This window comes from Homo sapiens, chromosome 1 (genome assembly GCF_000001405.40).
Source record: "Homo sapiens chromosome 1, GRCh38.p14 Primary Assembly".
NCBI classification, from domain to species: domain Eukaryota; kingdom Metazoa; phylum Chordata; class Mammalia; order Primates; family Hominidae; genus Homo; species Homo sapiens.
In genome coordinates, this window is record NC_000001.11 from 206,671,019 (window position 1) to 206,696,864 (window position 25,846).

Below are 25,846 nucleotides of genomic sequence, written 5' to 3' on the forward strand. Positions count from 1 at the left end.
GGGGAGGTTCTATGCAGGGCCAGCTTCATGGGCATGCAAGCCATGCATTGCACAGGGACCTGCATTTATAAGGACGCTGTGTGGGTTTAATACTCACTTGGAATTCTTTTCTTTTTTTCAAGACGGAGTCTTGCTCTGTCACCCACGCTGAAGTGCAGCGGCGCGATCTCCGCTCACAACAAGCTCCGCCTCCCGGGTTCACGGCCGTTCTCCTGCCTCAGCCTCCCAAGTAGCTGGGACTATAGGCGCCCGCCACCATGCCCGGCTAATTTTTTTTTTTTTTGTATTTTTAGTAGAGACGGGGTTTCACCGTGTTAGCCAGGATGGTCTTTATCTCCTGACCTCGTGATCCGCCCTCCTCGGCCTCCCAAAGTGCTGGGATTACAAGCATGAGCCACCGCGCCCAGCCTGGAATTCTTAATAATTTCTGAACAAGGTGCTATGCATGTTTATTTTGCACTGGGTCCGGCAAAGGAGCTAACTGGCCCTGAACAGAGGTAGGGAACTAAAGAAACTCGTCTTTTACAGGCTCGGAGATGCCAAGACAGCCAGGGTGGAAATGCATATGAATGATAATGTCCTAATAGTAGTAGTCTATTTCACAGGGTTGCTGCAAGTGTTGAATGAGAAAATATGTGGAAAGTGCTTAGAACAGTGTCTGGCACATAGGGAATGCTGTGGAAGTGTTTGATATCATTACTGTTCCCTCCTTGTACTGGTTCAACACCTGACAGCCTGAGGTTGATTATTCAAAGGGTCACAGTGGGCTTTTCTCATTTTCCCATTTCTAACCTGTCGCTCACCATCCAGCCCCAGGCTTATGATTGTCCTTTGGGGGAAAAAACTCCAACAACAATAATTATCACAATAAATACATAGGTGAGATCACATCCTCTCTTGATCCTTAGTGTAGCTAGCTGGTGCTTCAGGGTGTGTCTGTGTGCTCTGTGTGTCTTTGTTTGTGTCTGAGAGGGAGGTTTTTTTTTTTTCATTTAATTTTAATTCAATTAATTAGAGGCTCTCTCTGGTGGTTTCATTTTGTTTTTCTTTACCTGCCTTTTTGGTTCATATAGCGAGGACCCTGGAACCACCTGCTTCCTCCCTGCCACCGCTTCTCCTCAGGTCCCCAGGGGAAGCCAGGATCTAAAGGATGACTGTGTCACCATTGTCCTCAAGATAATGGCTCCCTCCCCCGCTTCCCTCCACTCCTATCTCATTCTCTTGAGCCTGTGGAGTGTTCAACCTTTGTCCTTCGAGTATAACCCTTTACTGGCGATAAAAAATTAAAATACTGGCTCAACACCTCTACTCCACGAAGCTGTTGTCTTGACCAAAGTCTGAAAGCTGCCCCTCCTACCCCTATTCTAATCTTAGACATTCCCAGCACATTCTTAGTAAGAGGGAACTCTCTCTCATTGTCCTAGGATTTTAAGTCTGCAAGAACTACGCATTTTTTTTTCCTTAGCAGAAGCAGTTGTACTTTTTCCTGACAACTTTGCAAGTTCCCCATAAAGTTGGAAATTCCCTTCCTCGTTACAGCTCTTGATAGATGCAGAAGAAGCCTAGTCTGGACCTGTCTTCTCTCCTGACCTGCTGTGTAACTCTTGGGAAGTTAGTTTAAATGTTTTTGGGCCTCAGATCACAGAGATTAACTTGACTGGGGACAGACTGAAGGCTGAAAAGTGTTTGGGAATGATTTATTTTTAGAGGACCTTGGGAGAAGGGTTTTACAAATGTCTCTAAGGTAAGAATAGCCATTTGGGGAGTTACCAAGACACTTAGATTCCCCCTCCTGAAAAAATGAGTTTAATAATTTCCATTGCTAATTTCTATGTCCCCACCCTTTCCTCCAAGCCTGCCTCCACCCTCAGCTGTTGATTGATGGAGTAGATGTGCTCTACTCCCCCTCCCACTGATGCACACACTTCTGGGAGGCCCTATATAAATAGAAGCCAGAGGCAAGGCTGCAGAATTATTATTATCATTATGATGATGATTATGTTTTCAGCATGAGAAACAGGAAGTGAAACTGACTAAAATGCCCAGTGATATGTGGCTGACCCTGTCTCCTCAGCTGGACCTAAAGGCAAAGGAGAAACTGGCCAAAGAAAACTGTAGCCCTGCCACAAGCTTTAACAACTTCTGGTGGTGTGTGTGTGTGTGTGTGTGTGTGTGCGTGCGTGTGTGTGTGTTACAAGGAGTGTCTTTAAATAAGCAGCTTCTAGAACTTGTGATCTTTCAACCTTATTTTTATGCCCAAGCTTCCCTCTTCATGTGATATCCTCAGAGTTCTTCCTTACTACTTCCTTCCCCATTTCCTAGAGAGAGCTTCTCACGGCTGTCAGAAGATGTTAAAGGAGAAGTCCAATGATTAATTACTTCCCACTACACATGCCTTATCTGCCCAGGCCAGGTCTGAGCTGTGTGCCTTTCTTGATCACCGGGTCTGTCTCCAGGGCAGACATATTCCCTGGGCCCCCAAGGCCTTTCTTCCCTCTCCCTTCAGGGGGCCATGTTTTCTCTTCTGCCTCACTGCTTGAGGCTCCATCTGCTTGGTTGATTATTCATGTCCTTTGTCTTTTTCAGGAATCGATTATGGATAAATGGTAGTTAGAAAACAGGGCTTCAGGGCCGATGTAATTATCCCACTTTGACATTTCCATTTTCAGCACCATGGCCTCTGGAAACACTGACACAGTGAAAATGACCTGATTTTCATACTACCTTGTTAGTTCAACTTCCTAGGGAGAAAAAAGCAGGCAGCTATGTGGAGAGTAAATGAACCAAGTTGGTGTTTCAGAAACGCCTCCTCATTTGGACAATATTCTGAAAAAAAAAATGCATAGGAAACAGAAGAGAAAAAGGCATCTGCGGGGGATAGCAAAGAAAGAGAAAGAAAGAGCATTTCAGCTGTGCAGGGCATTGGGCTCACATTCTGGTCCCTGGGCCCACACCTTTTTTATGGCTTTCATACCAAGATCTCGAGCTAGATTAATAGATTATTGGAATTTTGGGTTGGGAAAAACATAACTGTCTTATTCTCGCTATAATTTTTTCTGAGCCTAGAATAGGGGGTCCAGCGAAGTCCACCCAGGAGCTGGGATGGAGGATGAGGATCATAACAAGGTACTTGATTGAGGAAGAACAACTCTAGTATGGAGCTTTATGCCCCAAATTGCAGCAGTTATGAGTCTTACTCCCTGCATAGGAGAACATGGTGGCTGAGAAGACAGGTGTTAGTTAGGTCCCGGCTTTCTGCATTCAAATCCCCACTCCAGACCTTACTTTAAGTTGCTTAAATTCAATGGGCCTCAGTTTCCTCATCTGGGCCCCTGGAAGGATGTTAGTAACACCTATCTTGCAGGGTTGTTATGGGGCATTGATTGAGTCAACACCTGGAATCACAGGCATTGTAGGAACATAATAGGTGCTCACTAAAAGAGAGCTATTACCGTGAACTTTTAAATTTGTCTTTGTCTATGTGCCATTCACTATCCTCCATTTCATCCATCCAGCAAAAATACAAATGCCATATTCTGTGACAGGCGCTGGGCAAGTCACCAGGGATAGACACAAAGCAGAATATAAATCTTGTCAGAGGATTTATCCTCCCCAGGTTTCTCTTATTTCTTAATCCAGAGCAGAACACATAACAAGTTTGAACCCAATTTTCACTGTTCCTTGGTCCTGTTCCTCACCCATTCTCTCCATTTGCTTTTTCTGCTTCCTTGCTCTTTCTTTCCCAACTCTGTAGGAAGATAGGCCCCAGGTATCTCTGCCAAGGAAGGTCCCTGGAATCCTGCCAGGCTCTTCTAGGACTTGTCTTGGTGAGGGAGCCCTGGGAGGGGCAGGTCCCCAGGGAAGCCTGTTGCTCCTCTCACTCAGCAATCCCTCTTGGGCCAGGCTCCCCTTCCCAGGCCCTCAGCTCTCCCACAAGATCTCTGGGGAAGCTGGAAGAGGGCCACTAGGCCCTGTAATAACCACACTTCTTCATGGTAAACAAGAACCAGATTCCTGGGGAGTGACGCAGGCAGGAGCTCTGTGGCTGAGGCAGCTGTGATTATACCAAGACATGAAGAAACACCTCTTGCTCAGCCTTGGCCTGCTTGGGGAAGGCCCAGGAGAGAAGCTGCCCATGTGTCCCTCTTTGCTACCCTTCTAGTCATTCTTGGCCTGAATTACAGGGGCCTTGGCACCAATTGGCTCTGCAGACACAAGTGGGCAACCATCAGCCCCGATCTCCCAACCAGACTAGGTTCCTCCATCACCTCTCCTTTTCTAGGATTTTCCCCACCCTCTCCCCTACTCATGTGTCTGACTCCCACCCTTGGCTGTCATCCTGCACTCCCTGTGCCTTCCTTCTTGAGGGAGAATCATGCATGTCCCTCACCAATGCCAGTCGAAGCCTTAGGCTCCTGTGCAGAGGCCTTGATCCTGGGCACCCAGGAATGAAGCTGCCCTGAAGGGGCACTGGCCCACAGGCTGTCAAAGCTGGTCCAGGGCCTTCATCTTCACAATGTGACTTCTGAGTGTAGGATCAGTTCTCCTGGATGTTTAGGCCAAGCACAGTTCTTGCTAGTTCTTAGATGGAATGTTGAACTGGCTTAAATACTTCTAGGATACACAAGAAACTGGGGTGGGGAACTGGGTGGCTGAGGGCTTGGGTGGCTGAGGGCTTAGTTGGCCAGGGAGACATTTTACAAGCTACCCTTTAGGGCTTTTGCATTTTGTACCATGTGAATGTATTAAAAGTTTTCAAAAAAAAGAATTCTGTGATCTTGTAAACCTCTTGTATGTCAGATATAGAGAATTTCTGGCCCCTGTCCTCATGGTGGAAGGGAGAGTGGGATAGTTGTGTGGAAAAGGCCTCATTTGGGTCAGACTTCAGGCTTAGAAGGGGCTGACAAGGGCAGGTGTCTGCTTGGGTTTGAGATTTTCTGAGCATCTGAATGACTTAGAATCTTGCACAAGGAGGATAGTGTTGTTGAGTGTGATGGTCCTGGAGGGAGGAGGATGGGCCTGAGCTTCTGTCCAGGCCTAGAAGTACATTTGACTTTCTGTGTCTATGAATTTGACTACTTAGGTACCTCAGATAAGTGGAATCATATAATATTTGTCTTTTTGTGTCTGGCTTATTTTATTAGCGCAATATTTGCAAGGTTAGTCCATGTTATGGCGTGTATCAGAATTTCCTTTTTTTTGAGATGGAGTCTTGCTCTGTCGCCTAGGCTGGAGTGGTATATATATATATATCTGTTCCATTCTTTTTGGTGTATCCCCAGAAGTGTAATTGCTAAATCATATGGTAATTCTATGTTTAATTTTTTGAGGACCTGCCATACTATTTCCACAACAGCTGCACCATTTTGCATTCTCACTGGCAGTGCACGAGAGTTCCAATTTCTCCACATTTTAGCTAACACTTATTTTCTGGGTTTGTTTTTATTTTAGTAATAGCCATTCCAATGGGGATAGCCTTGAGAAGGTTTAAGCATGGTGCCCTGGGGCTCATAAATGGGAGAGATATATGCAGGAAGCCCTCATCTAGATGGTGACATTTGACCTGGGCCTCTAAGCATGGGCAAGAATTCTCCAGGTGGAGGAGGAAAACCACATAGGAGAAAGGCTTAACGAAAAAAGGAACGGAGAGAGACAAGAAACTGCATGGCCTGTTTAGAGGCAGCAGGTGGTTAGCACCAGCAAGAAGATAGGGTTTGTAGGGGAGGGTGTCAAGTTGTAAGGCTAGAGGCAGATTTAAGGGCTAGAAATTCCTCTCAGGCTTTGGACTCTGGTCAATAGGGAGCTATTGGTAATGTATGTGAAAGTGTTGTGCAAACTTCAATACAGTTTATAAGTATAAGAATTTAGAATACAAAGGAGAGAAATGTTTTTAAAGAAACAAAGTGTGGCTGGGCATGGTGTCTCATGCCTGTAATCCCAGCATTTTGGGAGGCCAAGGCAGGCAGATCATTTGAGGTCAGGAATTTGAGACCAGCCTGGCCAACGTGGTGAAACCCTGTCTGTACTAAAGATACAAAAATTAGCCTGGTGTGGTTGCATGCGCCTGTAATCCCAGTTACTTGGGAGGCTGAGGCACAAGATAGAGAATCGCTTGAACCCGGGAGGCGGAAGTTGCAGTGAGCTGAGATCATGCCACTGCACTCCAGCCTGGGCAACAGAGCAAGACTCAGTCTCAAAAAAAGAAACAAAAGTACTAAGATCAATGCACAATGCCTGCTGTGTATTACACAATATGGAAGTAGTGTCTGGCATTCATCTAGGAGAATCTTGGGTACCCATGGTGCTGGCACTGCCCCATTCCCTCCCTGTCAGCTCCCAAATACAAGGCTAACCAAATAGCACAGAGGGCCTGCCCCTGTTGACCTCCCTGGGTCAGGAGGGCTCCTGTTGTCCATTAAGTGGGACAATCATGAAGCCATCACAATTCCCTGCAGCCTCAACCTTTTAGGCTCAAGCAATCCTCCCACCTCAGCCACCTGAGTAGCTGGGACTACAGGCTCCTGCCACCATCCCCAGCTATTTTTTTTTTTTTTGTAGAAACAAGGTCTTGCTTTTTTGCCCAGACTGGTCTTGAACTCCTGGTCTCAAGTGATCCTCTTGCCTTGGCCTCCCAAAGTGCTGAGATAATAGGCATGAGCCACTGCACCCAGTGTACACTCTCGTGGTACAATAAATGTGCACCAGAAGTTCTGAGAGCCTAGTTTGTCTTTTTCTTTTTTTTTTCTTTGAGATGGAGTCTCACTCTGTCGCCAGGGCTGAAGTGCAATGGTGTGATCTCCACTCACTGCAACCTCCGTCTCCTGGGTTCAAGTGATTTCTCCTGCCTCAGCCTCCCTAGTAGTTGAGACTACAGGCACACACCACCACGCCCAGCTAATTTTTGTATGTTTTGTAGAGACAGTTTTTTTGCCATGTTGGCCATGCTGGCCTCAAACTCCTGATCTCAAGTGGTCCACCTGCCTCAGCCTCCCAAAGTGCTGAGATTACAGGCGTGAGCCACTGCACCTGGGTTAAGAGCCTAGTTTTTAAAGTCACACACCTACCTGTCTATATGATGGTGTAGAGGTGGTCTTTGGAGGAAAGGGACAGATTGATCTGTACATGTCCCTTTTGTCTCTACAATGTTGTAGTTTTCACCACTTCATAAGCAATGTGGGAGGAAAAATTAGGTCCTACTTCGATCTGTCATGGAATGAACAAAAACAAAACAAAATATAGTGTGTATATATATATATATATAGTGTATATATATATATAAGTGTATATATAGTGTGTATATATATATAGTGTGTGTATATATAGTGTGTGTGTATATATGTATATACAATACACGTATGCTACATAAATTATCTCACATATACCTCAAATATTTAGGTACTTCCTCAAAAGTTTACAAATGCTAAGATTCCAAACCCATTAATGCTCAAATGACTCTATTCATTGCCTTTAACTGTCTGTCTTAGTGGTAGGGACAGTCTCTGGAAGTTCTGAGTAAGTTGCAGTTGCAGACTGTCTCCTTCTCCTGAGCCATGCACACAGGCTGGGATGGCTTCCCCAGGTCGGCCTGGCAGGTGTCAGCTAGCTGGACCACTTTTAAGAGCATTTAGGAACATAGGCTTTGACACATGTGGAAACAGATCTTCCCCATCTAGTTGTGTGATGACTGGCTGTTATTTAACCTTTCTGAGCCACGTTTTCACTGATCAAAATACCGGAAATACTACTACTTAGAGCATTGTTGAGAAGATTGAATGAGATGGTTAGTATGAAAGTACCTGCTGCATAGTAACTGCTCACATTTATAGAGGCCAAGTACTATGTGCCAGAAACCATTGAAAATGTTACTCCTGTATTTAATCTAGGGAATATTATTCCATCCTTCATTATACAAACAGTACAATGAAGTGCAGTTAAGTATAGTAGTGAATAATGAGGTGGGATTAGAACCCAGGATTTGATTCCACCATGCTCTACTGCCTCAAAGTTAAGTTCTCATGTGAAGCTATGGATCATTATACCCTTAGGAAATCTCTACCCATTCCACATATACATGTGTATGTCTCTCCCCTACCTTTTCTACCCTTCCACTTCCATTTACTTATCTTAAGCAAGGGAGAAAAATCCAGGCATCACCAGGTCACCAGGTAAGAACCTGATGATCCTTTTGGTTGACCCACCTTGATTGTGTTCCTAGATAGTTCCCCCTTTCCTCTCCTCCTTTCCCAATCATTGTCCAGGCTGTTACTCATCTAAGTAGCAACTGATATGCCAGATATAAGCTAGGTTGGAGGGCAATGCTTTTAATACAAGGACAACAGCCTTGGAAGCCTTCTTGAATACAGGTGGATATTTGCCTCTCTTCCCTACATTTCCCATTGTAAACTGTGGATTTAGCATTAGACATCCTGGCCAGGTGTGGTGGCTCACGCCTGTAATCCCAGCACTTTAGGAGACCAAGGCGGGCGGATCACCTGAGGTCAGGAGTTCGAGAACAGCCTGATCAACATGGTGAAACCCCGTCTCTACTAAAAATACAAAAATTAGCCAGGTGTAGTGGCAGTTGCCTGTAATCCCAGCTACTCGGGAGGCTGAGCCAGGAGAATTGCTTGAACTCGGGAGACGGAGGTTGCAGTGAGCCAAGATCGTGTCATTGCACTCCAGCCTGGGCAACAAAGCAAGACTCCATCTCAAAAAAAAAAAAAAAAAAGAATTAGGCATACTGTAGTCCTAATTACTCTCATTTGTAGTCCCTTTGGACCATATTATGTCTGTTGATGTGCAGAGGTGAAGTTTCTGTTCCCCTTTGGGTACTTCCTTCTTTCTCTTTCTATTCGCATTCTTTGCCACTGCCCCAGCTGTTCCCTGCCGTGGCATTAAACTATCAAAGGATGAAGTGCAGATGAGGGCACGGAGGGCACCAAGGGCACCGTGGGTGGGGGAAGGATTTTTCCCCTCTGGGATGTCTTAACTAGGGCATTACCAATGGCACTTGCTATGGGTAGAATTCCTTTCTGTGAGGCAGCCGTTAACACCTTCAGAAAGAGCTAAGATAGAAGGGATGATAGAGGCCATCCTGACCAATATTTTGAGGTCATTTTCTGGGTCAGAAATTTTTGTGACTGAGTCTTATGTATATATATCTGTCACTTTTGCTTTGGGGGAATTTCTCATTTTATCACAGAAATACTAGCCTATGACATGAAGACTATTTCTCTCTGGCTCTAAGCCATTTTTCTTTCCAAGAGTGGGTTTTTAGTGGACAGAGCTTCTTCTGTAAATCATGCTCCTTCTTGCAATATTTTGTTTGCGGTACTAGCAGTGGATACAAAGGCTGCTTTATCTGTGTTCATGCGCAGATCCGCCAGCCTGTGGATGATCCTCACTCATCAAGAGAGTGTTAGCTGAAAATTTCCAAGAGATCCACCTCCATAAATTTCCACCCTCTGTCACTCATTCATAATGCCACGTCATAGTAAAACAGGAAACTTTTACTCCATGATGGTGTGAAGGCTGTGTGGGGGAATCTTGAAGAAAAAGATTGTCACAATGTATCCTATCATATAACCCAGTCATGCAAATTAACATAGACCTATATTCTGTAACAGATTAGGCCAAGATGGAAGGAAATTGAGGTGTGGAAAATTTATGTTGCTCTAAAATGGAAAGAATAGCCCATACCTCTTCAGGCAATTCCTGCCCAGAAATAGCAGATATCATATTTCTGACATTAAGAAGGATATGTGAGTATATGTCTGCTCAGGATCTATAGTAAGGACCATGAGCATGGACTTTGGGTCAGAAAGATTTGGGTCCTGTCCTTCGCTAGTGGAATGACTCTGAGAAAGTTATTTAATTTCTCTGGGACTCAGTTTTCTTGTTTATACAACAGATAAGTGAGGATAACAGTACAGACCTCATAGGGCTGTGTAAGAGTAGGATAAGGTTTGGCTGTGAATGATAGAAAACCTAGACCATCAGTCACTTCAACAAGAAGGCCATTTATTGTTCTTTCATATAAAAGTCTGGGTAGGTGGCTCATTGCTGATATGATGGATCCAGGTTCACCAGTATACAGACTCTTTCTGTCCTTTTGTTCTGTCTTCCTCAACCTGTAACCTCCAATTCACCATCCAAGATGGCTACAGCTGTGAAATTTTTATTCCAGTCAGCAGGAAAGAAAAAAGAGAAGGAGAAGAAGAAGGACATACTTCTTTCCATAAACCACTTCCACTTACAAGTCATTGGTTATAACTTAATCTTATGAATGTAACCGGCTATAGTGGAGGCTGCTCAAGTGGGAAATGTAATTTTTATTCCAGGCAGTCTTGTGCTTAGCTAAATATGGGGTGCTCTTTACTATCAAAGAGAGGAAAAAAAGGTGTTAGCCCACCCAACTAGCAATCTCAGCCACGGATCATCATGAGATTTAAATGAGACAATGCAGGTAGAGGGTTGAGCACAGTGTTGGGCACTCAGGAAGCACTCAAAAAACATTGTCATCGTCATCATCATCATCATCATCAACATCATCATCACCATCATCATGAGAAGGTGAGGAATACTTTGAAACTGTGACAAGGCATTTTCTTATTTTAACCTGGTCTTGCTGCTAACATCACCCTTGGCCACCTCCCTTTTAAGGTGATTTGAGTTTCATCTTTTATGATACCTTTGAACATGCCTTCATGAAACAAAACTATATAAAAAGGAAAGCAAGGGAAAGGTGAACATAGGACTCAGGATGATGGGGTCTTGGGCCATGAAAATGGAGGGGTTGGGGGAGTGTGTGTGGAGGAATCATCTAGTTAGATGTAAATTATTGTCGAAGTTCTAGTTTTTATTTTGGGTAGTGGATTCACAGGTGCTTACTGCATTATTAAAAATAATTATTAACTAACAATAAAAGTGGAGCTGCATGGATCAATGATCCAATGACGAGAGTGTGTCATGAATCAAGGATTATAATTAATCCATTTCTATGTACCTGAGGTCCTTAAATTGTCTTTGTGTGTACTATATTGCATGGCATATGTGTTTGCATGTTAATAGTAGATAAAAATAGTACTTTCTATTTGCATAGACTTTCAAGTTTTAAAGCGCTTTTACACATCCATAAAAACTGTTTATTAAGTAGTTCATTACAGATGGCTAAGAGCCTGGTGTTACACAAATAGGACTTTGGACTGCTTCCTGTAGGAAAGTTTTTATTTTATCCTTGCACAAGCCCTACAAAGTAGGCAAGGCAGATGTTATTGTCACTATTTTGCAGATGAGAAGGAAGGAACTGAGAGAGCAAGGGGCTCTCATGAGGTTACATAGCGAGTCAGTATCAGAATGGAACTTAAGACTCAGGATCTCTTGGCCAGTGCTTCTGCATTTAGCACATCTTACTCCTCAATTATTCATCCACTAGGCGTTTATTCTGTTACATGGCACATTGTGCTCATGTGTTGTGTTCATATATGTGTGTGTTTTCTGGTGCTGTGTGTGCAGTTCATATAATCTCTATCCACTATGTATGTACCCTCAGAGTCCCTGTGTGCCCCCTAGGCCTATTTGGCTCTTGCAGCTCCGGGAGGACTCTCAGGTGGGAATTCAGTTGTCCTGTTATTCCTAGATCATTGGGCCTCACCATCTCCCTGGAGCTCCAGCTAGGTAGGAAAGCAGCTTTGATATCAGGAATAGATCCGTAGGCCATGAGCACAGAGCAGAGGAGCAAGCCAGCAATGTCTAAATAATGGTGATATTTAATATTTCATGATAATGTATAGTTTATGCTTTAGGATGTGTTCTCATAATTACTATTTCATTTTATTCTCTCTCAGCCCCGAAAGTAGATTTTGTTGTTTTTTTCTTTTCTTTTTCAGATGCTGAGAGATGTTACATGTCTTGCTCAAGGTAACCCAGTTGGAGGACAGTCTTGGCTTCAGCTCATTTGTCTCTAGATCCTGTCATCTTACCACTGTGCCTTGCTGCCTCTGAAAAGGCAGAAGGAAGTTATTCTCTTTCTAGCTTTGTGGAGAAAAGCAGGTGATACCTCAACACCAAGCCATAGGGAGCTTCCAGTGACTCTGCAAAGAAAAAAAAGACCAACTCAGACTCCAGAGCAGCCCCACCAGAGCCTGAGCAGTTGGAGCCTTCCACCTTCCCACCCCTGCGTTCCTCTTGTCCTTGGGCATCTCCTGTGTGTGCTTCGGGGAGGTGATAGCAGTGCTATAGAAGTAGTGGAGTGAAGATGTTTTCCTATCCCCGTGGCCTTAGATAGTGTCTTTGTCTTTGAAGAGTCAGGGGCATCTGGGGAGCTGTCTAACCGTATCTATCCTGTAGACTCGGGAGGAAGCTGCTGGCTGCTGTAGACAGAAGAGAATCCCTGTGCTTCGGGCTCCTAGGAAGGTGTCTGCCATCCTCTCTGTGCCACTGTTATCTGTCTTCTTCCCCATCAGATAACACCATCCACCGCTGCAGGGCTGAGCACGGCACCTTGTACATGGAGCTAAGCAGATGCTGCTTGAGAAGAGCATATGTTTGTGTCGGGGGAAACATGTCTCTCCTTGGTCCACAGAGCCCTACCTGCCCCAGGAAAGGACAGTGTTGGGAGGGTAACTCCCACCCCTCACTCCTCCCCCTCATTCCTGCCTCCACAAGCATCTTCTGGGAAAGGTGAATGAGGGAAGAGACATTTGCACTTGTCCCTTACCTACCTAAGTTCTATCCCCAGTGGCCACTTCTGGGGGTGTTGTCTTCTCTCTGGAGTTTTGGGGGACCTATTAGGGGGCATGTGTGGCCATAGGTCAAGCCTCATTCTCTAACTGGCCTTACCAAGACTTAAGCTGAGGTTTTGTGTTCACCTGTCTGGGTTGCTTGCCATTTCTCAAATGTTCTGCCAGTCAGAGGTGGGAGGAGGTCGGCAGGAATGTACTTGGTCATCTCGAACCCCATCAGAATGTGTGTGGAGGCCTCCTGGCAGCTTCTATGCAGGGTCCAGCTAGATCCCTGGGCTTTTCCTGAGATACACGGGGCTAACCCACTTCTTACGGATTAATTTTTCCACATCGGAAATCAGAAGCCATTCCCCAGGGCCTCCCCTTCAGTTTCATTATCTCCTTTGACTCTGCCCACAACCTTTGAAAAGGTCTCGCTGTTCTTCCCACGGAGAGAGAGGTGCAAGGCTTGCTCAGCCTCACACAGCCAATCCGTGGCAAAGGATGGCGGGAATTCAGGTGGCCCCAATCTCAACCCATCCTCTTCCCACCCTGTATCCTTTTTAGTTTATTTACAGGAAAACATGTTCAAAGGTATAATTACTAAAGTGCTCCTGGTTACACAATAATACGTCTTTACTGAAAAACAATAAATTAATGAGAAAAGAGATGCAAAAAACCTCAGAGGAAAATGTTGAAGTTAGGGAAATATTTAATACGCCCGCCTTTGGCTCACACCTTTTCCTGGGATGAATGACCCCTGTGATTCCAGCTCCCCCCCACCCCCACGAGGTCTCATCTAGCTGGATACCTACAAGCCATCCCTGTCCTTGGAAATACACCCCTCTCCCAATTCGCTGCCGCTAAGAAGCCCAGACAATTGGAGAGGAGTGGATTTTCCATCTGAATTATGCAGCTCCTTTGACACGCCTCCCCTCTCCCTTTGCATAGCCTTGGTTAAGAACTAGCATTTCTTCGTCCCCTCTCCCTGTCCCCTCTCACTGTCCGCGAGGCAGCAGCCCCCAGCCTACTCCGCGATCCTCCCAGCTCCCGGCACCGCGCGTCCTCCCCTTTAAGGCCCGCCCCTCCCCCCACGCCACGCCTCCCCAGGCCCCGCCCCCCGCCCCTCCCCTTTAAGGACCGGCCCCGGACGCAGACGAGGCTGTGACGCGGCCGCCGGCCCGGGGCTGGGTACATTGTCGCGCGGCCGCTTCCCCCCGGCCGGGCCCCCGCCGCCCCGCGGTCCCCAGAGCGCCAGGCCCCCGGGGGGAGGGAGGGAGGGCGCCGGGCCGGTGGGAGCCAGCGGCGCGCGGTGGGACCCACGGAGCCCCGCGACCCGCCGAGCCTGGAGCCGGGCCGGGTCGGGGAAGCCGGCTCCAGCCCGGAGCGAACTTCGCAGCCCGTCGGGGGGCGGCGGGGAGGGGGCCCGGAGCCGGAGGAGGGGGCGGCCGCGGGCACCCCCGCCTGTGCCCCGGCGTCCCCGGGCACCATGCTGTCCAACTCCCAGGGCCAGAGCCCGCCGGTGCCGTTCCCCGCCCCGGCCCCGCCGCCGCAGCCCCCCACCCCTGCCCTGCCGCACCCCCCGGCGCAGCCGCCGCCGCCGCCCCCGCAGCAGTTCCCGCAGTTCCACGTCAAGTCCGGCCTGCAGATCAAGAAGAACGCCATCATCGATGACTACAAGGTCACCAGCCAGGTCCTGGGGCTGGGCATCAACGGCAAAGTTTTGCAGATCTTCAACAAGAGGACCCAGGAGAAATTCGCCCTCAAAGTAGGTCTGGGGCCCGGGGAGGGGAGGCGGGGCCGGTCCCGGGCCCTGGAGCTCCACGGCGTCGGGTGCCCGTCCCGGCCTGGGTCGCGGCGCGGGGCGGAGGGGTGGCCGCGGCGGGGCGGGGCGGGGCGGCCGGGCCGGCGGTGCCGAGTGCGGCGCGGGCGGCGGGTCCCAGCGCCCTCGCCTCCCTGACCGCTTCCGGCCGCTCCCGGGCGGGAGCCCTGGGACCCGCTCCTGGGGACTCAGGGGACCCTGCCATTTTGGGGTTTGAGCGGGATCCAGCCGAGTCAGAACGGTTGGCTTCGGGACTTCTGCTAATTTCACTCCATCTCAAGGAAGTGATTTTGGGGTTGGTGGTTCCCCGTCCTCTCCTCCCTCCTTTTTCTCTCTCTGCGGGCACAAAAGGCCCATTACTCATTGAGCCGGTTGGTCGGTTGGTTTGGAGAAGTCGGATCGCAGAGGTTTATTTAGCCTCGCTCCTTATTTGGGAGCCGGAATGTGTGATTTCACTTCCCCGAGCCTCGCGAGGGCAGCCGGGCCGCCTTGGGGCGCGCCGGGCAGGAGGTGTGCGGCGGGAGGGTCCTGGGTGTCCCCCGGCTGCGGGGGCGGGATTATTTGGATCCCGGAGCTGGCCCCCTCAGCTGGCCCCCTCCCACGCCCGCGCGGGGCGGCTCCGGGGAGAGGCCGGCGGTGTCCGCGGCCCGGCTGATCATTGTGAACAGAGTCTGTAACCCGCGGCCGGGCCCGTGCTGATTCCGCCTCCTAGAGAGGGCCACTTGCTGTCCTGGACTCGCGCCGTGATGGGCAGTCTGAGGAAACATTATCCTTGAGCCGGGGGAGCCCATCCCTTTTCTTTCTTTAAGGGGTGTGGTGGTGGGGAGAATAAGGATTCAAGTGAGAATATCGACTTCAGAAGTTAAACACAATGGACTGGGAGGTCTCATGAGATGGGTGGGTCCGCAGTGAAGTGTGAGCCGGTCTTGCAGGGTCACCAACAAGGTTTTCCTCTCACAGGGGTTTCAGGTCAAACCAATCTCTAAAGGTGACGCCTCAGGTCTGTTTCCCCTGGGGTGTCTCAATGATTGGAGGAGGAGAAAAATACTTCCTGTGTTATATTTTTCTCTTCCCCTTCAGCCCCCACAGCGAGCTGTATTTCAGTTGTCAAGTACAAAACTCAGAAATGTGGTATGGGTGGAACTATTGGAATATACGATCAGATGTTTTAAAAGAAACACCAGTACTTCGGGGTTGTACGGGGCAAGCATGTTCCATTTCTAGATTTTAAGGCCTCTAGAATTGTTTTCCTGCTGCTCTCATACTCAACCCTGTTACAGTGCTTTGCTTTCTACTGTAAGTTATTGCTCTGGGATCTCGGTTGTTGTTTAGTGTTGACTGTTGGAGAGGGGATAAGTATCTTCAACACTTCAACATTTGTGTCTTAGACTTCTCTTTCCCTACTCATAACTGAAGGGAAAGGAGGAGGAGGAGTTGTTTGGATTGAGCATGGCTCTGACCTTGGGGACTGGAGTTGGGTGAATACAGTTTGACCACAGTTAACCTGTATCATTGAGGAAGTGACAGACGGTCTTTACAGGAGTGTTTGCTGTCCCCTCTGAGACACCATCTGCCTTCACCCATTAGTAGTTTGGGGACACTGGCTGTTCATTCTCTTGGATATTTGGAATATTATGTAAAGACTTCAGAACAAAAGCTCCCAACTTCTGCTCTGTATTCTGTTTAATAGACACACGCACAAAATCATCCTATAAAATGCTTTTGAGTGGCAATTCAGATTTCTCTTGTAACTAACGAGAGAGAGGTTTACATATTTTTCTACTTTGAATAGTTTTGGAAGGAAAAATCCAGCAGCGTGTTAAATAACACTCATAGTTTATCCCTCTCAGGTTAGAAGTGGGCGAAGAGTGAAGTCAGTCTGTTTTGACAGGCAGCCTGCTCCCAGATCTTTTAAGTTGACTCAACTGTTAAATTGTGGATTTCCCACACACGTCTTTGTGTTAAAACTTAATAATGGAGGAAGAAAGGAGAGACAAGGCATTTGGAGACTGACAGCAGTGTTAACAGCACTTCCATATCCAAATATTGGCTGAGACATAATTACAGCTGTGGGGGGAATCTGGTTCAAAGAACGCTGTTCCAGAGACACACACCAAAGAGATTTCTAGATCTTGAATTTTGATTAACCTCAGGTGCTGAGTAGTGAAATGGTTTTCAAAACCAGAAGTCTAGTGATTATAAAGCAGGAGAGGAAGATGGAGTGGGGCAAGAGGGATTACCCCCTTGGGAAGGTGCCTGAGAAAAGGGGAGGAGACCTCTATTCTACAGTGTGCCGAGGCCAATGCTGGGGGCTAGGGCAGAGCTGGAGGGCAGGAGCCCAGCCTCTGCTGGGGTTCAGAAGTCTGCTATGTTGCAGCCCTGAGAGTTGATGGGAGCTGGCAGCTGCTTAGATGCTCTCCTCTCTGCCTATAGTCGGTGACCTCTTAGCCCTGTTAAGTGAAATCAGCATTTGAAAAAGAGTCCCAGCTCACCCTGCTGCTTCTCTCCCTCCACCTCAGAGAGCTCCCATTTAAATGCTTTTGGTGGGTGCTTTGACCTCACCTCACCATCTCTCCTGGCTGCTTTTGCTAAGTTCTGAGTCATGCTTCCAGTCAGAGTTGCAAGGGACTTGAAAGGTCATTTTGTCCAGCCCCCTTATTTTGCAGAAGAGAAAACCAAGGCCCAGAGTGAGGGAGTGACTTGTTCAAGGTACCATAGCCATTCACTTGGCAGAGGCAGGATTGGAACCCAGGTTGCCTGACTCCCAGTCTCAGGCTTCTTCCCACTTACTTCCTAACTGAGCCACGGGCTCAGGCACATGGCCACCTGCTGCTCCAGGGTGCTTCCAGCCTGAGGAGCTGTTCTGTCACCTCAGGCCCTGACTGACAAGAGGGGAGGTCAGCGAAGGGGGCTGGATGGGTATTTGCTGCTCCTGAGAACAGTCCCCAAAGTTGGAGGGGAACTTCAACAGTAGCTTCATGCATTTTTTTAACCACTCCCTCCCCCTTTTAAGAGAGTATTTGATAGGCACCTTACTTACTATTTTTTGTACAAGAACATGGGAATTCTATTATTTTTATTTTTATTTTTTTTGAGACAGAGTGTTGCTCTGTCGCCCAGGTTAGAGTGCAGTAGCACGATCTTGGCTCACTGCAAGCTCTGCTTCCCAGGTCCACGCCATTCTGCCTCAGCCTCCTGAGTAGCTGGGACTACAGGCGCCCGTCACCATGCCCGGCTAATTTTTTGTATTTTTAGTAGAGATGGGGTTTCACTGTGTTATTCAGGATGGTCTTGATCTCCTGACCTCGTGATCTGCCTGCCTCAGCCTGCCTAAGTGCTGGGATTACAGGTGTGAGCTACCGCGCCCGGCCTGTATTACTTCTTTGATAAGGACACCTAGTCTCAACCCACTTGTGTATTAATTAGTTGTATTCCCCGGGAGGGTTCCTCAGCTGCTTGCCGCTTCACTGTGTCATGGTGACCCTTAGGTGTTAGCTCAACAAATTTAATTAAAGACTGTATCGTTGTTCTCTGCTGTGCAACTCTGATTAGGTGAAGCATGTTACTGCTTTATAAAATATAGAATGTTGTCGTAACTTATCTCTGTGTATCTTTCCATTGCGTGGATTAGAGAAAACAAGGTCCTGTAGTTTCTTTTCCTTTCCTTTCTCCAGCATTCCTCTCTCCCTAGGTCATGGAAGTGCCACTGCGATGTGGCTTCCTTTGTTCTGGTGAAGGGGAGATGATTGGAGCCTCTCATGATTATTCTGGATGCTGTTGGAGGGAAATGCCAGAGCTCCCACATCCCCACAGTACAGGCACCATCTCCTTTCCAACACACCTCATACTGTGTACCTGTGGAGGGCAAGACAGTTAGTGTGGCTAGGTGAGAGGCAGTGTCCCAAACTGGAGTTTGCTGGAGTTGTCACAAGGTTAGGAAAATTTCATTGACCAAGCCAGCCTCTTTTATATGCAATATGGTTACAGGTAGGTAACAGTTTGCTGAATATCTATCATAAGCTTAGTTGCATGGAGGATACACATGTAAAAAATGGCCTGTAAAATTTTGAGTCAAGAAACTTATTTAGAGAAGGTGAAATTAACACATGTAGGCTAGGGCTGCACTGTCCAATCTGGTAGCCACTACCCTCACATAGCTAATTAAATTAAAATTAATTAACATGAATGGATTAAACTAAATTAAATTTGAAAAATCAGTTGCTAGCCACACTTCAAGTGTTCAGTAAACATGTGGCTAATGGCTATCGAATTGAACAATGCAGAAGAACATTTTCATCCTTGCAGAACGTTCTCCTAGACTTTGTTGGTCTGGGAGCTAAATCGTGTGGCTGGGAATAGAGGAGCTTTGAAAGAGGGGAATCTGTGGTGACTCCAGGAGCTAAGGGAGGCTCCAGCTGGGGTCAGTGGGACATGGCTGTGCCTCTGAGGAGTGAGCAAGTCTGTGAGAGGTGTGGTGACATTGGCCTGGCTAGAACTGAGGGGAGGAACAGGAGGTCAGAGTGGTCAGGGGTTGGTGGCTCCAAATTGAAGCTAACTCATCTTGTGTCAAAGCAGGCTTTAAAGTGTTTGAGGGGCATGAAGGTGTCAAAAAAGGTTAGGAATCATTGAAGATGGGCTTACAGAATTATGAGGGAAGGGTCAGGTTTGTGGTTTCAGAGATCCTGTCCCTCCTGGCCGTAGCCCTGACCCCAGCCCTGACCCCTGGCTCCTGCAGCAGGGCCCTTGGCATCCACTGAGGCAAGATTGAAGCTGGGTCAGCTCACTGTCCTTTTTTACTTGTGAATTCTGGGCTTTGACTGAGCTTGGAGACAATCTCCAGCTAAGATACGGGATCAGTGGCTGACAGGAGGGGAGAGACAAGCAGTCCCTGGGCCTTAGGGCCAAATATTGGTGGGTGTCTAGGAAACAAAAGAACCCCTTTGTGGGAGGAGGAAGGTATTGGGACCTGTGATGTTTCTGCTACTTGGGACCTGAGAGGTTGGGCCATCCATAATTGATGATTTTTCTTATGAAGCAGGTACAGGGGATTGGGAGGAGGGCCTGGAAGAGCCCAGCCTCAGAACTGCTGGAGGCAAACTTAATCCTTGGGCTAGGGGAGGGGCCAAAGCTCCTGTTAGCCAGAGCCCAGGAGTGTGCTGAGTGGGTGCCAGGAGGAATGTCAGCCAAGATGGGGAAGAGCAGGGCACAGTCGTCTGCATCTGAGCCATTGCCCAGTTCCCAAGCAGCCTTGCCATGCTCTGAGCTGGGGTTCTTCCTGGTGGCGTGATGTCTGTGGTGCAGGATTCACTCTATTCTCCTACCTTTCCTCTACTTCAGGCCCTGCCAAGTGTCATGTGAGGTCTCTTTTCCCCCTCTTCCCTGCACTGTATCTTTCCAGATGGTTCTGTGTCCTGGAGGGAGGTGGATGGGCAGAGAAGAGTTGTTCTTTGCAGGGACTGCAGCTTTTCTTGGTAATGGTTTGAGGCCCAGTGGCAAAGCAACCCACACTTCATAGTAACTTAGAACCCACACTCCCTGGTCATCTTTCTTGACTCCTTGCACATCACTGAGGAAGAAGCTGGCCTAGTGCAGAAATGTTCAGTGGCATGTCCAAGGTCTTACATGGTGTCAGCATCCGAGCCACATCTTGAGACCTGGTTCCCTGGGACCTGCTCTTGGTCTGGGCCCCTTTGGTTTTTGGTTGCTAGAAGACTGTAGACCTGGTGGAGCAAAACTGAGCTCCACTAACGCATCAGCTAGGATCTTTCCACATGGGTTACCTTGTAAATGGGGGCATTGGTGAAGAGAAGGGGCCATGTCACTGGACAGTGTAATAACGTATGGCAGTTATAGAACCCAAATCAGATTGCTGTGTACCTTTTCTAGTTTTTAGGAAAATACTGGTATTTTGTATTTTAAGATATATATATATATATATATATACACACATACACAGATATAGATATGTAGAGATGAGCTTGTTACCATGGGTTATGTGCTAGATAAGAAAGCAAAAATAAGTGCATACATAAATAGAAAGCTTCCAGTGTTTGTATGCTGCTAACAAGTTACATGACCTTGAATAGGTCAGCTAAACTTTCCAGGCCTCATTGCACAGAGGGTCGGCTCGAGCAGCTCCTGAGCACCGGCAGGGTGAGGCAGTAGAAGGCGGTGCTGCAGGCCAGAGGTGGAGGGCAGGCAGGATAGCTTGCTGACTTGCTCCGGGTCTGACCATCAGCAGTATCTGGGTCAGCACAGATGCCCTTTCGTAAGCTTAGTGCCTGGCTCCAGGGCAGCCTGTGTCCAGTTAATGAATAATCATCACTGACCAGCTGCTCCTTCTCTTGTGTGAAGACTTAGAAAGTGTTCTATGCTGGTGACTCGGCAGAGAGGATAGACTACGTAATTTAGCAGGGTGTGCATCTTCTCTTTCCTTAAAATCAGAAGAATCATAGTGTAGTGGTGGTGCAAAGTAGAGATGAGGAACTCTATTCCCTGTTTGAGATTCCTTTCTCAAGTTATGGGGCATTTGAGGGCCACTGTGATTTCTGGTGCAGGCTGTTCCCTGTGCACAGGGATCTGGTTGAGGAGCTAAGCGAAGGCTGAAGTCCAGCCACTGTCTCCTTGCTTGGCTTTGTCTTTGTGTGTGGCTGGGTTCTTTCAAAGGAGTGCCTTCTAATTCACCAAAGGTATGGTTATGGATTAGGGGTTGTTCTTAGGTTAGAGTTGGGGACTGATTCACAGAGCTGATGAGGAAATTAGGATTTACATTCAGGTGACCCTCAGCCCCTCAGACCAGGCTGAGTAAGAAGAGATATCAGGAATCCAAGGAAGCAGGAGGAAAAGGGGTTGCCTGGTGATGTCTGTTCTCTTTCCTCCTCTTCCTGCCCATGCAAGGCTAGAGCAGCTGTTTCAGCCCCGGAGGTTTAGACTGTGGGGTCCTGTGTGCTGGGCCATCAGGTTTGGTGGGAGGAGGAAGAAAGCCACAGTAGAAGGAGACATAAAGTTGGGCTGGGCCTCTGGCAGTGAAAGGTTCTTGGGGTCTTTATTGTCTGATCAGTAAACACCTCTGTGTGCCAGAATGAGCTGGGACAAGGCCCCAAGGTCAGCCCATATTTGTATCTGGTGTTCTCCTCCAAGACCAGCCAAGCTGTGCGCTCATTCTGCTGGGAACCTGAGCCCTCCAAAAGGGTCATATGAAAGGGCATCTTATTCTTGAGGGACGTTTCCAAGCATCTCTGTGGCCAGTGTCCATCCAGGACTCATCTTAGAGGTGAAGAGTGGTGGCCAGAGGCGGAAGCTAGTGGCCACCCGATGGGAGCCTTTTCTGTTTCAGAGCATATGAGGGAGCTGAGGGAGCTGTACTGTTGATGCCTTCTCTCTGGCTCATCTCCATGAAGATTCTTTTGAACCAGAAGCAAAGGTGAAGTCTCTCTGAGGGGAGGGGCTGAACAGGAGATCTACTGACTGTCCCCCTGCCGACTCCTCCACTTTCGTCCTCCGGCGGGGCTCCTTATCCTCCTGCTTGTCTACAGGGAGAAGATCGAGTTGTTCGTTTGCTGCCATTTTAATGATCCACATTGTTAGGAGGCTCTCAGTACACACCGGACCTTAGCAGCCTGGCCTCCTGCCCAGGGCCCAGAACTGTTACTCAGCCCCTCTGCCGAACAGCTAAAAATAAACCTGCCACTGCTGCAGTCTCCCCTCACAGCCAGGCCCTGTTAGCTGTCCCAGTGCTTCCTGCCACACCGCTGACCTGTTTCTCTCACTTTCTGCTGATATTCTCCCTGCTTGCCCCTTTCTCTTCCAGCCTGAGCTTGGTAGGTGATTTGGGGCTAACTCACTCTTCTGAGTGCTGGGAGACGTGCTATGGTTTTTATGTCTCCAGGTGTCTAGATTTGTGTGTATGAAAGCTCCGTGAAGCTGTCCTGCTTATTTCCCAGTAGGGAAAGGGTTAGACAAAAAGGAGAGTGACCAAGCTCATCAGAGTGGATCAGACCTTCTACTGTGCTCGCCTCCAGCCCTGGCTTCCTCCAGTTTTACCTCCAAGCAGGCCTCTTTGCCAGAGTTACCTGGTTATGGTAACAGAGTTACCATAGTTATATGCTAGGACAGCCCCACATGGGCAGTCTGCCCCAGGCCTTCAACCCGACTGCCCTGTCACCGAGCATGCTACCTACCGTGTACTCCTGCCCTGTTGCTACGTTATATTCTCCACCTCCGCAGTGTGAGGCTTTGGGCTACCACATTCAAAAGTGTGACCTCATCTTGTCAGCGTCCAAGAATAACTGGGCCCTGGCTCTCAGGATCTCCTTCCTGAGTCAGGCCATGGCACCTCTGGCCCTTCCAGCTCAGCCACATGCAGAATGTCACCGAGTGCATGGGTTTCTTCTACCTCTTGACTGCAGTATTGATGTGTGTCCATGGAGGTGTGGCCTCTTCCTCTACTCCCCAGGGATCCTGGAGACTTGTGGAGCAAGATGAGGAAAGGGGCTCAGGTAGCTAGAATATTTGCTTAGCTGATAGATACTGGGCAGAGTCTGACATTGGCATTCTGTTCTTCAGCGTGGCGTTAGTATTCTTTCTGATTTTTTCTAATCCCTAGACAGGTGTTGATACTAATCGTGGCCTAGGAGGGCTCTATGTCTGCTTTCAGGAATTATGGTTTATTTGGGGGAAGGGGTGTATGGTGGAGAGTGATGGCAATGACAACCAAGACATAGGACTTGAGGAACCCACTGCCTTCAGCTAGAGTTACATACTCTGACCATGTGTCGATGGCCTCCTTCTCCCACCTCTCCCCTGGGGCCACATTTCCTCTGCAAGGAAAGATTTATCTGCCAAGGCCCATTGGCCTGTGCAGAGGAAGAGTTGGGCATAGTTGCTAAGTGTTTATTTTTAACTCTGACAGAAGGAGCCCCTGTCCTCAGAATAGCCATACCCTCTGTCTTTCCCTATCCCGACTGCCTTCCTTGGCTTCTGTGATTCCTAGAAGAAGGTTAGTAGGATTCTAAAGGCCAGGCTTCACGGGAGCTGGAGAAGGCTAGCTTCTCTAAGTGAGGAATCTGCAGGTTGCTCGTCATGCTTGGCTTCTGCAGAGCTCAAAGGGTCCTGCGGGGAGAGCCCTGGACACTAAAGGCCGTGTGTCTGGAACTTGGAGAATTCTAGGAATGCAGGTGACCTGATGAGGAGGCTGCATGTGCCCTGCAGCTCAGAGCAGCCTGGCTGCACAGCTGAGTTGGACAGCCCAGCAAGGGGTCATCCCATACCTTCTACATCCTTACAGGCACCCAGATCTCTGGCAGATGGGGAGGCCACAGGGAGAAAATGAGCATATGTAGTAACCTGCCCTGGAAACACTTGCGCTTGCAGACACGCCAAGTGCTGTCATTCCCTCTGACTGCCAGGCTCACGAGCATCATGTCCTTTCCAGCAGAGCCCACCTGCGACTCTTAGTGACTTCATACCCTTTGTGTTCTCTTCCCCTGATGTGCTTTAGTGACCTGTGCTCACAGAGAGGAGGAGGAAGGGTGGCAGTGCCCCCTCTCCTGGGTCTCAGACTTTCCTGACTTTATGCATTTGATTTGGCTACCTGGGCTCGGATACTTTAAAAGAAAATAAAATTAGGTTTGAGGTGTAACCAGAGAGAGAAGGAATAGAGAGTAGTAGGGGGTGGGATGGGTGGTTGAAACATGTGGCTAACTCTGAGAACCCTCAGCTATGGAAGGAAGGTCTTGCCCCCATGATTCTTCGGCGTGCAGTGGGGGATTAGTTTGCCCAGAGCCCAGCTCTGATCATGTAGCTTCCCAGCTTAAGCCCTTCAGTGGGTCTCTCTGCCTGCAGAATACATGAGATATCCACATCTTTCCCAGATCTGGCCCTGATCTGTTTTTTTTTTTTTTTTTGGAACACATGCTTTTTTTTTCTCCCCAGCTTAAGTGGCTTATATATGTTGTTTCTTTAACAGAACTGTGCTTTCCACCCCCACACCTTAGCATCTATCCATCTGCATCTTCTCTGTACCATGCCTGTCCCCCGTCCTGTCTATATCTACCTTTTCCACCCTGCACAGATGCTGCTTTTCCAGAGCCTTTCGCACCAAAAGTGGGTCTTCCCATCCTTCCCCATCAAACTTGCTGATACACTCTTACCTTTTATTTCTCTGTTTAAGTGCATTTCTCCATGTGCAAGGCATCTCTCTCTCTCTCTCTTTTTTTTTTTAACAGGAAGGTAATTTATTAACGGAAAATATTTGAGGAGTCCTGTGCACAGTGACCATGGCAACCCCCCTTCCTGCGGGTGCTGTCAGAGGGGTTGGGAGTGACGTCCTCAATCTGTCCGATCTTCATACCTGAGCGGGCAAGGGCCCTGAGGGCCACCTGGGCCCCAGGTCCAGGGGTCTTGGTTCTACTTCCTCCTATGGCTCGGAGTTCGATGTGTAGGGCAGTGATACCCAGCTCTGGGCCACATCCCGGGCAGCCAACATAGCAGCATGTGGTGAGGATTCATCTCACCTGCCTTCACCTTCATCCTACCAGTCACACGGCAGATGATTTCTTTGCCAGAAAGATCAGTGACATGGACAAAAGTGTCATTGAAGGATGCAAAGATATGGCAGACACCAAATACATTCTCTCCTTCAGCCACCTGAGGTCTGAGGCTGATGACCTGTTCTTCCTTCTTTTCCTTCCCCTTTCAAGGTGCCATTTCTGCATGTTGTTTCCAGACTCCGCACAGGAACGCAAGGCACCTCTTTAGATATCGGATTGGACTGTAAATCCCCTGAAAACCTACATCTTCATTATTTTTGTGTCCTCTTATTTTCATGTAGTGACCGTATGTCCTCATTAAAAAACTCAGGCCAGGCATGGTGGCTCACGCCTGTAATCTCAGTGCTTTGGAAGGACAAGTGGGAGGATCTTTTGAACTCAGGAGTTTGATATCAGCCTGGGCAACATAACAAGACCCCATCTCTACAAAAAATTAAAAAGGTTAGCCAGCTGTGGTGGCACATACCCATAGTTTCAGCTACTCAGGAGGCTGAGGTGGGAGGATCACTTGAGCCCAGGAAGTCACGGTTACAGTGAGCTATGATCATGTCAGTGCACTCCAGCCTGGGTGACAGAGCGAGACCCCGTCTCTGAAAAAAGAATCCTAGAGTATTTTGGCACTGTGCATTATATGCATTATACTTAGCTGCTGAATAAAGGTGTGATAACTGAGTAATAGTGGATGCCACCGATATTAAATGTGATGTACTAGAGGTAATCCTCAGAGTCAGGGACTGTGGCAGCCCTGGGAG

At 48.2% G+C, this 25,846-nt stretch overlaps 1 protein-coding gene, 2 long non-coding RNA genes and 1 pseudogene across 8 annotated transcripts in view, besides 7 other annotated features; 2 read left to right on the forward strand and 2 right to left on the reverse strand.

Moving 5' to 3' along the window:
• The first annotated feature begins 8,822 nt into the window (after positions 1-8,822).
• Positions 8,823-11,970, forward strand: LOC124904496 (uncharacterized). Its single transcript, XR_007066834.1, has 3 exons — positions 8,823-9,569; positions 10,157-10,572; positions 11,889-11,970. It is a non-coding gene; the product is annotated as an uncharacterized LOC124904496 (long non-coding RNA).
• Positions 9,246-9,540: a silencer, noted in NCBI's record as "tiled region #10950; K562 Repressive DNase unmatched - State 5:Enh". NCBI's record gives its function as "represses a minimal TATA promoter and a strong SV40 promoter by Sharpr-MPRA in K562 cells {active_cell/tissue: K562}" and the evidence as "EXISTENCE:reporter gene assay evidence [ECO:0000049][PMID:27701403]".
• On the reverse strand, positions 11,122-13,788 carry LOC124904495 (uncharacterized). 2 transcript variants are annotated; one of them, XR_007066833.1, is made up of 3 exons: positions 12,723-13,788; positions 12,333-12,525; positions 11,122-12,092 (listed from the first exon to the last, which is right to left on the reverse strand). It is a non-coding gene; the product is annotated as an uncharacterized LOC124904495 (long non-coding RNA). The 2 variants fall into 2 exon arrangements; XR_007066832.1 differs by having other exon boundaries at positions 11,751-12,092; positions 12,333-13,788.
• Positions 13,863-14,042: a silencer, noted in NCBI's record as "silent region_1761". NCBI's record gives its function as "represses an Ori minimal core promoter by ATAC-STARR-seq in GM12878 lymphoblastoid cells {active_cell/tissue: GM12878}" and the evidence as "EXISTENCE:reporter gene assay evidence [ECO:0000049][PMID:35858748]".
• Positions 13,887-25,846, forward strand: part of MAPKAPK2 (MAPK activated protein kinase 2) — a 49,377-nt gene continuing 37,417 nt past the window's right edge. For 3 of the 5 annotated variants that reach the window (NM_004759.5, XM_005273353.4, NM_032960.4), the window contains exon 1: positions 13,887-14,490. In NM_004759.5, the coding sequence (NP_004750.1) occupies positions 14,212-14,490 (279 nt within the window). In that variant the 5' untranslated portion in view covers positions 13,887-14,211. Of the gene's footprint in view, positions 14,491-14,615; positions 14,840-25,846 lie in introns of those variants that run through there. The other 2 variants (XM_017002810.2, XM_047434418.1) reach the window with 2 other exon arrangements.
• Positions 14,503-14,552: a silencer, noted in NCBI's record as "silent region_1762". NCBI's record gives its function as "represses an Ori minimal core promoter by ATAC-STARR-seq in GM12878 lymphoblastoid cells {active_cell/tissue: GM12878}" and the evidence as "EXISTENCE:reporter gene assay evidence [ECO:0000049][PMID:35858748]".
• Positions 14,563-14,652: a silencer, noted in NCBI's record as "silent region_1763". NCBI's record gives its function as "represses an Ori minimal core promoter by ATAC-STARR-seq in GM12878 lymphoblastoid cells {active_cell/tissue: GM12878}" and the evidence as "EXISTENCE:reporter gene assay evidence [ECO:0000049][PMID:35858748]".
• Positions 15,063-15,152: a silencer, noted in NCBI's record as "silent region_1764". NCBI's record gives its function as "represses an Ori minimal core promoter by ATAC-STARR-seq in GM12878 lymphoblastoid cells {active_cell/tissue: GM12878}" and the evidence as "EXISTENCE:reporter gene assay evidence [ECO:0000049][PMID:35858748]".
• Positions 16,492-17,053: an enhancer, noted in NCBI's record as "OCT4-NANOG-H3K27ac-H3K4me1 hESC enhancer chr1:206860855-206861416 (GRCh37/hg19 assembly coordinates)". NCBI's record gives its function as "activates a minimal SCP1, AML or CMV promoter by ChIP-STARR-seq in naive and primed H9 embryonic stem cells {active_cell/tissue: H9 hESC(naive and primed)}" and the evidence as "EXISTENCE:reporter gene assay evidence [ECO:0000049][PMID:30033119]".
• Positions 17,054-17,615: an enhancer, noted in NCBI's record as "OCT4-NANOG-H3K27ac-H3K4me1 hESC enhancer chr1:206861417-206861978 (GRCh37/hg19 assembly coordinates)". NCBI's record gives its function as "activates a minimal SCP1, AML or CMV promoter by ChIP-STARR-seq in naive and primed H9 embryonic stem cells {active_cell/tissue: H9 hESC(naive and primed)}" and the evidence as "EXISTENCE:reporter gene assay evidence [ECO:0000049][PMID:30033119]".
• RPS14P1 (ribosomal protein S14 pseudogene 1) lies at positions 24,764-25,284 on the reverse strand (annotated as a pseudogene).